Source organism: Homo sapiens, chromosome 1 (assembly GCF_000001405.40).
Source record: "Homo sapiens chromosome 1, GRCh38.p14 Primary Assembly".
Taxonomy (NCBI): domain Eukaryota; kingdom Metazoa; phylum Chordata; class Mammalia; order Primates; family Hominidae; genus Homo; species Homo sapiens.
The window spans coordinates 99,179,641-99,191,359 of record NC_000001.11 but is presented as its reverse complement, the minus strand read 5'-3'; the positions used below and the strand labels follow the sequence as shown (position 1 = coordinate 99,191,359).

The 11,719-nt window shown below is 36.1% G+C and overlaps 1 annotated feature.

The window, feature by feature from the left end:
* Positions 7,310-7,477: a silencer, noted in NCBI's record as "fragment chr1:99649439-99649606 (GRCh37/hg19 assembly coordinates)". NCBI's record gives its function as "represses an EF-1alpha promoter that drives an FKBP-Casp9 reporter gene in an ReSE screen in K562 erythroleukemia cells {active_cell/tissue: K562}" and the evidence as "EXISTENCE:reporter gene assay evidence [ECO:0000049][PMID:32094911]".

Here is an 11,719-nt window from a genome sequence, read left to right as displayed (position 1 = left end):
AGGATGGAAACAAATATTTTTAAAAATCCTATTGAGCCTAGATATAATGTCTCCCTTTACTTCACTCATTCTTTGCTCTTGTCCTCATCTCCATTAATTATTTCTTCTTCCATTGTCCCTGACTGATTCAATATGAATACTGGACCAATCCAAATGTCCTCTTTTTTTTTCCCCTGGAATCTGAGCATTATAATGGGAACTGCAGATTGATGCCACTATAAATTGATAGTTTCTAACCAAAAATGTGTATTCAGGTCTGCACAGAAATATCCTATTGTTTTATTATTTTTTTTCTCACTGGCTGTCTTCTCATTGTCCAGATTGGCTATTTCAATTTTTTTATTCATTTCAAAACTTTCTAATTCCAGGCTTCACCCTTTGCTCTTAGGAAATAACTTATTCTTCAATTTTGCACGGAAAATAGAAAATAGAAACCATCACACAGGATTTTCTTCAGCTTCCTTAAATCACATATACAATTTGCCTGAACTCATTCTTCCCTGATGCTTGTGTTTGCAATGGAAGAGGTGCCATTTCCCATGTCTAAAGTTGAGGATTCTAAAACTGCCTGTTTCCTGTGTTTTACACTCTTTTACTTGTATTGCTAACATTTTTCTCCTTGATATTTCAATTGTTTAAGAAGATTTAAACACCTGATAGTCTAATCTTTTTTTTTTTTTTTACCTTAAGGAAGTGAACAAGACCCTTAAGTTAACCCTACAAATCAGTTTAACCAGAGAGCTACCTCTTTCTTTCTCTTCAAACTCAAGCATTTTGAAAGAAAAGAGGTATGTAGAATAGCCATTAAATGAGGTAAAGTCCTCACTTAACCATTTACCATCTGGGACATTAAAATTTGCTGTTTATCTTTCAAATTGAACTGTTTTCACAAAGATTCTCATTGCCATACTTGTAGCCTTATCTAATAAAAATCTTTTAGTCTCTATTTTATTGATCTTTCTTTAGCATGTGATGGCCTAGATCACCTTTGGAAATGTTTTTCTCTTGAATTCTGTGATGCCACACCTTCCATCTTATTCTTCTTCCTCCTTCCATTATGCCTATGACTCCCAAATCTGTCGACCTAAACTACATGTTTTAATTTCTTATGGTTGTTGCAACAAATTACTGTACACTGGGAGGTTTGAAACAACAGAAATTTACTCTCTCACAGTTCTGGAGACTAGAAATCTGAAAGTAATGGGATCTCGGAACCACACTCCCACCAGAAGCCCTATGGAAGCACCCATTCCTTATCTCTTCCTGCTTCTGGGTGCTGTTGGCATTTCTTGGTACGATGGTTAGTTTTCTGTGTAAAGTTGGTGAGGTTATAGTAACCAGTGATTTAACCAAACACTTAACTGAGGTGTTGCTGTGAAGGTATATTGTAGATATGGTTAATATTTACAATCAATTGGCTTTAAGTAAAGAGGATTATTAGACTAGCTAGTATAATACTATTATTTTCAATTAGGAAAATATATTGTTACTGTCAATGGAGCTTGCAAAGAAAGATTTTAAATTCCTAGGTGAGTCTAGTTTTCCTGGGGTTCACCCGTACCTCTCAGCTCTGGCCTCCTCTGTGTCATGAGGGCTCTTCTCCAGCCTGGCTCATCACCATGCTTTCCAACTGTAGAGGGTCAGTGCCAGCAAGATGTGAGCACTGGAAACTACAAAATACTGCTTAGAGAAATCATAGAAGGGCCAAATAGATGAAAATATGTACTTGTTCATAACTGACACACATACTCTTGAAACCTCAATAAAAATTCAACCAGGGATTATTGTGTAAACTAACAAGTTGATTTTGAGATTTACATGAAATAGTCAAAGATATAAAAGAAACAGTACAATCTTGAAGGAGCAAAAAAAGTTGGGGACTATCAGTAAAGATGCAGCTAATAAGACAATATAGTGTAGGAACAAGGATGGACAAAGAGATCAATGGAACAATATAGAAAATCCAGTGGTAGCCTCATACATATCTGATCACTTGATCTAAAACAAAAACATCAATATATTCAGTGGGTAAAAGGGTTGTCTTTTGAAAAAGTAATGTTGGCCAACTGGATATCTATATGGGGAGAATGTGAACTTTGATCTCTACTTCATATACCACATTTGAAAATTAGTTTTGAGAGAAAGTAGGTACCTAAAGGTAAAAGGTAAAGTTTCCGTTAATCAAAAGCTACCATAAAGAAAAGGAAACATTATGCCACAGAATAGAAGAAAATACTTGCACACATATATCTAAAACATGTCCAGAATATATAAAGAAACCCTTCAAATCAATAAGCAAAAGACAAGCATAACAAATTTTAAAATTATAAATGAGTTAAAGAGGGATTTAGCCCAGGAGGATATCTAAATAATCAGTAAGTATATGAACAGGTAAGGAATATCATTACTCATCACTGAAATGCAAATTAACGTAACGAGTGGTAATATTTCTCCTGACACCAAATAGTTAAAATTTATAAAGATTGACTATATCAATGCTGGTGAAGATGAGCAACTAGAACTCTCATATTTTGCTTTTGGGGAATATGAAATAAGTCCTTTAGAAAATTAGCTGTTTTTGCTAAATCTAAACATAAACCTGTCCTATGACCCAGCAATTCAACTCTGGAGCATACACTCAGAAGAAATGAGTGCATACATTTACATTCTCTCATACACACACTAAAGATAAAAATGTTTCTAGTAACTTTATTTATAGTAGCTGAAAATTAGAAACTACTCTAATGCCCATCAACAGAATGAAGAAATAAATTGTGATATGTTCATATAATGAATTCTACCTAGCAGTTAAAAAAATGAACTAATGGTACATGTAACAATATGGTTGAATCTCAGAGACATTATGCTGCATGAAAGAAGTCAATTATAAAAGAGTATGTATTGTATAATTCAATGTATAAACTTTAAGAATAGGCAAAACAAATCAATAATGGTAACAGTCAGAATATTCTTTATTTTCTGAGATGGGGTAAACTGGGCAGAGGACAAACAGAAACTTTTGTTTTGTATCTTGATCTAAGTGGTGGTTGCATGGGGACATAGTTACATAAAAATTATTCAGGTTTTAATTTAAGCATATATACTTTTTATCTATGTTATGCCTCAGTTAAAAATGTAAATAACAACTATAAAAAATACTCAGGTTACAATTACGTGAAGTCAAATTCAAGATTCTAAACTGTATTATAATATGATTCCTTATATATAGGAAAAAGTGCTAGAAAATTAAAATAAAAGTGGTTACTTCCTGGACAAAACTGTTTTGGTCTGATGTGTATATTTGTGAAGAAATAATGCATTTTTTTATTATTATACTTTAAGTTCTGGGATACATGTGCAGAAAGTGCAGGTTTGTTACATGGTATACACGTGCCATGGTGGTTTGCTGCACCCATCAACCCGTCATCTCTATTAGGTATTTCTCCCAATACTTTCCCTCCCCTAGCCCCCCACCCCCTGATAGGCTTCAGTGTGTGATGTTCCTCTTTCTGTGTCCACGTGTTCTCATTGTTCAACTCCCACTTATGAATGAGAACATGTGGTGTCTGGTTTTCTGTTCTTGTGTTAGTTTGCTGAGAATGACGATTTTCAGCTACACACATGTCCCTGAAAAGGACATAAACTCATCCTTTTTATGGCTGCATAGTATTCCATGGTGTATATGTGCCACATTTTCTTTATCCAGTCTACAATTGATGGGCATTTGGGTTGGTTCCAAGTCTTTGCTATTGTGAACAGTGCCACAATAAACATACGTGTGCATGTATTTATAGTAGAATGATTTATAATCCTTTGAGTATATACCCAGTAATGAGATTGCTGGGTCAAATGGTATTTCTGGTTCTAGATCCTTGAGAAATCACCACACTGTCTTCCACAATGGTTGAACTCATTTACACTCCCACCAACAGCGTAAAAGCATTCCTATTTCTCCACATCCTCTCCAGCATCTGTTGTTTCCTGACTTTTTAATGATCGCCATTCTAACTGGCAGATTGATCATTAAGAAGCATAATTTGCAGGTGAGAATTTCTGGCAAGATGGTTTTTTGGTCTTTTGTTTTGTTTTGGAAGCTGGTGGAAGAGCGACCTGTGTGCCCACGAATGGGTATTATAAGCAATCGGCTATTTGACAAGGCTTTAATATAGACATCAAGAAGCACACCCACCTAAAATGGCCGATAAACAATTGGAAATCATTTGGTTGCATTATATACTCACCTCAGGAAAAGATAACTGTGTCTTACTTTAATGGGGGACCAAGTAGGATTCATATGTTTTTAGAAAAAAATATGTAAATAAGTATATACACCTACTATGTGCCCACAGAAATTAAAACTCAAAAAAGAAAAAATCATAAGTAAGTAGGTGCAAAAGTGGACAACTTTTGGACTTAGACTTGAAATCAGAAGATCAGGCTTGAATTCCAGATCTAACTCATAATGGGCATGAAATTTTCAATAATATAATTTACGACTAATTTTCTTATATATTTAAATATCTTGTAAAGATAAAAATGAGGCAAGTAAGATGTTTTTGAACTGGAAAGCATTCAGACAAAGCATATTGTTGTATGTTATTATAATAATATATAGTTGTGTGTGTGTGTGCGGGGAGATATTGTAGAGACTTCCACTCAGAGCAAGTCTTATATATGTTTTATACACTCCTACACACACCATTTCTTAAACCCTTCTGCATTGAAAAGCCTTCTTCTTAGGGACATTATCTCCTTCCTCTCCCAATGTGATTTCAGGGAAAGTTGGTATATTACCTGTCCCTGCCTCCTAACAACAAGTGATTGGTCCAGACCTTGGAAACTGACCCAAGTCTGGACAAACAGAATATTCCTTAAAAATTTATGAACTAGATTAGAAAATAGACATAGTTCTTCTTTGACTGTAGAAATATGAAAATGTATAATATAATAGCTACATTTCTCATCCAGTAGAAGTAGCCCATCCACAGTGAGAGAATAAACCAGGTAGGAAAAGAGAAGCTGGATTACAGAAAAAGCAAGTGAAAGAGAAGAGAGCATAAGAGAATGTGAGGACATGAGAGAGTGATCTGGCAGTCTTCACTCTGTCATTTTAGTTGTTTCTAAGCTGGGTTGCATCTCTGCTCTGTCCACTCTTCATAGTTCAACCTGAGATAGCCCAGTATCCTTGTGATGAATTTCTCCCTTACTTTAAGCTAGTTTGGTTTTGACCATTTGCAAGCTAAGGGGTTGACACAGGCTGAGTTGCTTAGGAAGCAAACTCTGAGATGATGATTGGCATGCAGAACATTTGCTCAGGTGTGTTGTTGGGATCAACTTCTGTGAAGGGAAGGGAAGACAGCAGGATTGGATAGAAGGAGAAGTTGAGATGTAATGCAATCTCAATGAAGACCTCAGCTGACCTGAAAGACAGCCTGGAAGCTGGAATGGCCTTAGAGGTCTGTTCTAATTTGGGGCAGGAGATGTTTTCCCCTGACATTCAGCAGTCATTAAATGTAAGCCATGCTAGAAAGAGTGTGTAACTTATGGTGAGACATTTTTCTGCAACAAAGGCAATCACTGAAGTGGGGTGGCAGTTGAGGGTCATTCCCTGGCCATACTACCAGCAGCTGGGGGAGTAAACTCTCCCTTCCTGAACTGGGGATCTGGGTGGCCCATTACAGAATCCCCATAGTCCAACTCAAATCCTTTCTATCTGCATGGGTTTCAGGTCTACAGAAAAAAACACAAGTTCACCTGCAGGACTTGTGAATGTATCTTTAAAGTTAACTTAAAGTACTCCAAAAGTAGTTACTAAAATTGAATGCTTCTTGAATTCTATGTTATTTCATCATCATATAAGCTGTTTCATTTTCTTTATCGAATTTCAAAGCAGAGTTTTCAAGTCTTCAAGTCTTGTTCTGGATCAGAATACTCTGTGGAGCTTGTTAAAAATACAGACATATGGGCTGCACTTTGGAGTGACTGAAACAGAAGTTCCTGAGTAGAGCCTGGGAAATCATATTTTTAAAAGCATATAAATGGCACAGGCCTTTTGAAAGGCAAGATCAACTCCGAGATATTAGTCGTAAGCTGCAGCTTCCATTGGTTTATTATTCTTTAAACTACTTAAAAAGAAACAAGCTATTCAAATGTACAGCTTATTACAATGCAATTAGTGACTAAAATAGGCACCAAATTCAATGTCAACAAGTAACCTATGATTCACTGGCCCTTGCACTGACATGATAAACTAGGACCCTGTGTCTCCCAAGCTCTCAGAATAATCCTAGGAGCAATTGTGCTTTTGGCCATGTTTTTCTCCTTCCTGCCTTCTGTTTTCTTGGCCTTTCCACTGGGCAGTTGCTTTAGTTGGCAGCTGTCACATATTGCTTTCACTTCCATGAGATGTCATTTACAATAGGCATGATAACCATTTCTACTCTTGAGGACAACAGTCTTCTCCAAACTTTGCCACCGCAAAGGGGCACCACTACTGCTTGCTTTCCTGGGAATCAGCAGGGCCATCTCAGCTAAATACTATTGCCTATTCCACTGGGTGCTGCTGGTGATGCACTGGGCAAATGCAGGGCAAATAGATTCTGGCACTCTACAATAAATTGGGGGGAAAAGGTACTCTCATTTTTTTTTCCATTAAAGATAAAATCAGGTATATTTGAGTGAAATATATCTTTTACTTTTGACTTTCTGCCTTCTCCAGAATTCAAACAAGGACAGTATCAGAAACAATTCTGAGTGACAGTATGTTGTACTCAAAAATCTTCCCCTACTCAAATTCAGAAATCTGTTACTAGATGTGTGTGTCTACCTGTCCTGTGTTTTAGAATTAGCTTCTCTTGGAAGTTCCTTAGTCCTTTAAATAGTTAGGTTTCCAAAGGTCTGTTTGATAAGTTGACCAAATATACATGTTGATATGGTTTGGCTGTGTCCCCACCCAAATCTCATCTTAAATTGTAGCTCCCATAATTTCCATGTGCCATGGGAGGGACCCAGTGGGAGATAATGGAATCATGGGGACAGGTTTTTCCCATGCTGTTCTCATGATAGTGAATAAATCTCATGAGATCTGATAGTTTTATAAAGGGGAGTTCCCCTGCACATGCTCTCTTGCTTATCACCATGTAAGATGTGACTTTGCTCATTCTCCTTTGCCATAATTGTGAGGCCTCCCCAACCATGTGGAACTGTGAATCAATTAAACCTCTTTCCTTTATAAATTTCTCATCCAAAATATATATAAAACTCAGGCCAGATGCAGTGGCTCATGCCTGTAATCCTAGCCCTTTGGGAGGTTGAGGTGGGCAGATCACTTGAGGTCAGGAGTTCAAAACCAGCCGGGCCAACATGGAGAAACCCCATGTCTACTAAAAATATAAAACAATTAGCCAGGTATGGTGGTGGGCATCTGTAATCTCAGCTACTTGGGAGATGAGGCAGGAGAATCGCTTGAACCTGGGCGGCGGAGGTTGCAGTGAGCTGAGATTGTGCCGCTGCACTCCAGCCTGGGCAACAGAGTGAAACTCCATCAAAAACAAAACAAAACAAAACCAAAAAACCCAAAAAACTCAATATGCAACAGTAAGGAAACATAGAAATCAATTTTTAAAATGGGCAAAAGCTTGGACACTTACCAAGAAGGTTATAAGGATGGCAAAGCAGCATATTAAAAATGTTCAACATCATTAGCCATAAGTGAAATGCAAAGTTAAGCATTAATGAAATACCACTGCACACTTATTAGAATGCAGAAAATAAAAAATACTGACAACACCAAGTGCTGACGAGGATGTAGAGCAACTAAAACTCTCATACATTGCTGGTGGTAGTGAAAAATGGTACAGCTATTACATAAAATGGTTTGACAGTTTCTCATCAAGTTAAACATGTAGTTATGACTCAGCAACTCTGATTTTTTGGGAAAAGAAAGCTTTCGTTCAAACAAAAACCTCCACGCAGATGTTAATATAGTAGCTCTCTTCATAATATATTCCCAAAACTGGAGACAGTGCAAAAGTCCTTCAGTGAGTAATGGAGGAAGAAACTATGATACCTCAGTACAATGAAACACTACTCAGCAATAAAAAAGAACAAACTATTGATTCAGATCAGAATTTGAATTAATTTCAAGTGCATTATAATGGGAAAAAGAAGTTAGTCTCAAAAGGTTGCATATCACATGATTCCATTTATATGAAATTCCCAGAAAGATAAAAGAAATGGACAGGAGATCAGTGGTTGCCAAAGATTAGGGGAATGGAGTGCTGTGATTATAAAGAAATGACACCAGGGAGTCTGAGGTGATAGAAGGAACTCTTTTCATATCCTGATAATGGTGGTAGTTATTTGAATCTATAAAAGTATCAAAATTCAAAGACCTGTACAAGAAAGTCTGTGACTATATGATAATTTAAAAAGCAAAATTAACATTTTTTAAATCCCATGCTTACAACTTACAAAGATCTGGATGAGTTTGTCAGGTTCTAGCTATAAGGAGCTTATACAATAACATTAGAGGTATTTTCTCTTGCTCGACCTTACAGTTAAAAATCTAACCAGGCCTCTATGTCTCCATGTGTTAAATCTATATGTTAAACATTGTTTGTGTAAGCTATATTTTCTTCCCTTTACCTGTGTTGGCTTCATTTTGAAAAGCTCTCCCTATAAGATGACAATAACTTCAGGTTTATGTTTGCCCTACAAGCAAAAAGAAATTATCTCTGGCCAGGTGTGGTGGCTCATGCCTGTAATCCCAGCACTTTGGGAGGCTGAGGCGGGTGGATCACCTGAGGTCAGGTGTTTGAGACCAACCTGGCCAACATGGTGAAACCTCGTCTCTCCTAAAAATAAAAAATAAAAAATAAATAAAAAATCAGCCGGGCGTGGTGGCACGCTTCTGTAGTCCCAGCTACTCGGGAGGCTGGGCTGAGGCAGGAGAATCACTTGAACCCGGGAGGCAGAGGTTGCAGTGAGCCGAGATTGCACCATTGCACTCCAGGCCAGGCAATAGAGCAAGATTCAGTAAAAAAAAAAAAAAAAAAAAAAAAAAAAAAAAAGAAAGAAAGAAAGAAAAGAAAAGAAAAAGAAAAAAAGAAATTATGTCTTTCTCAATAGCTTCAGAGTTCTCTGGGAGGAAACAATTTTCTTTGGCAAAGCTATGACCCATGCCCATTCCTCAATGTAACATTTGGCAAGGAGATAGAGCTTTCTCTTTGTCTAGGCATCCGTTTTATGTCCACTGTTGAGCCAGCCCCATTCATTTCCAGGCAAGAATGAAGTAAATGAGGTTGACCAAAGGCATGCTGGACAGACATAAAACATATGTCATCTCTCTTGGACTTAGTGCTGGGGAAGACACTTAACTTTTCTTTGTCTCAATTTGACCACGCAAAAAGGTAGTAGTAATCATACTTTCTTCAAGCAATGACAACATCTATCCACAAGTAAGCTGGATTGCAAACTGGCTGCTTTATTTCTCCCGGTCATCATCATAGGGTGTTAGAGATGGTTAAAATGAATGAAGCAACAGTGCCATAGTATCTACATTTCATGCCTATAAAAATCACAAGATGCTAGTAATGAAAGGGTTCATGAAGAGTCACCTGCCTCAGTCGTCTGATTTCAGGAAAAGTTATACTTGCACATTTCTAGGAAGAAGAAAAAAAATACATGTTTATGATTTTCATGGCATAGTATTCTATGATAACTCTTGGTAATGTTTTACCACCTTGATTCCATTCTTAGGAATCTCAGAAATGTCTTAAACTCAACTAGTCTTTCATGTTATTGCTTATATGAAATAACATGAAAACTCACATCCCATTTTTATATCTTTATTAATTTTTTAAAAAGGAAAAATATAGCTGGTCACTCTATTTTTAAATATCTTCATATATGGTACTTGAAAATGTTATTGTCATAAATTCCTCCACCAATCATTTGTTCTCCATACGCTAAACTCTTGATCCACTAAATTTTCTTTACAAGTTGCATTTTTTTAACACTTTGAATATATATATTTTAACTCTTCAAAATTTCTGAACAATCTCTTTCAGGGCAGCAGAAATCTGAGCTCTACCCATTTTTTCAGTAACAACTAAAAACTCCAGAAATGTCTTCAGAAGACGAAAGGAAGCATGTATCTGGAGAAAAGGTTATTCCAGGATTCTGAGGGAGTCCCAACACTTTCCAGACCATCTGGCTGAAATCTAATTGCTAATGAAATGAACAGATTTTTTTTTTATCCACAAGTATAGCCTGAAGGGGAATTAAGCCAGGATTTTCGAGAATGCCTGGCACAAAAGAGCTGTTGTCAAAGAAAGCTAAAAAGGATAGTGATAATGATAGTACATTAAACCATACAAAATATATATTTTCATTTGCTTTTGGAGAAGAGAGTTAGGGCTGCTTGTATAATGAATTATTATTACCCACTAAGTCAGCTGCACTAATTAGAATCAATTTAATTTCTCAAATCTATTATAAAAAATGAATACTAGCCAGGACTCAGATTTTTTTTTTCCTGAAAAAAACTGATACTGTAGCTTTAATTGTGCATGGAACTGAAAAGGTTGTCATGGAGATGGGAATCTGTGATAGGCCTGCTCCACTTCGCTGGCCTTGTTCTGAGCCTGAAGTGGAAGGTTCTATTGTTAGAGTAGGTTTTCAATTTCTTGCAATAAAACCTGTGTTTAGATTTTTTTCAGTGCAGTTTTGTTCCTGCTGCTATCTTTTGTTTCATGAAAACAGTGAGAGTGCTTATAATGACAATAATGAGACCATTTTAGAATATTCTATTTGTGATTGTTGGGGAGCACACAAAATGGTGTCCAACAAACTCTGATAGTCACTGCAGGCTCCTGCAATAGTTTGGAAACGTTTGCCACCTAGTGGCGGCAATTGAGAAATGCTGAGAGATAGTAAACATTGTTACCTTTTGGCTAGTAGGAAGCAGAAAGAAGAGTATAACTACCTCTATAAAGAGATTCTTCATTTCTTTTTTTCCTTAAGATATAGAACAATTCCGATTTCCCATCCTTATTTCGTTATTTAAAAAATAATATTTTAATGGTATTTGCTTATTTCATTTAAATATTGAAATTACGGACATAACATTGTTTATATCTTTCTATTATATTTTAACAATTATAAAATCTAAAGTAATATCCTGGCTTTTATTTCTGACTTTTTTGACTTCTCTTTTTTTCTTGACCTTGGGGTTTATAAATTGTGTTTTATTTTTGAAGGACCAACTTTTGGTCTTCTTTATTAATTTTATGTTTGTTTTCTCTTCATTGGGCTTCTGCCTGTGTCATCTTTTTCTTCAACTTTCGTTGGATTAATTTGCTTTTCTCATTGCTTCTTCAGATAGATATGTAGAGTGTTGATATTCAATATTCTTTTCTAACATATGCACATAAGCCTGCACATTTTACCTAAGCATAACTTTAGTTATGTATTTTGATATGTCAACCATGTTATCATTTATTTCCAAACATTTATTTCCAAACATTTTCTAATTTTCATTGTGATTACTTGTTTTCGCAACCGTGTTTTAACACCTATATACATGATAGCAATTATTAAGGTTTTTTTCTGTTTATCTTTTTGTTACTGCTTTCTAGTTTAATTCTACTTTCTGCAGAGAATAGAACCTCCTCTGAGATTTAAAATAAACAGATCCATCAAACAAATTATTATTTAA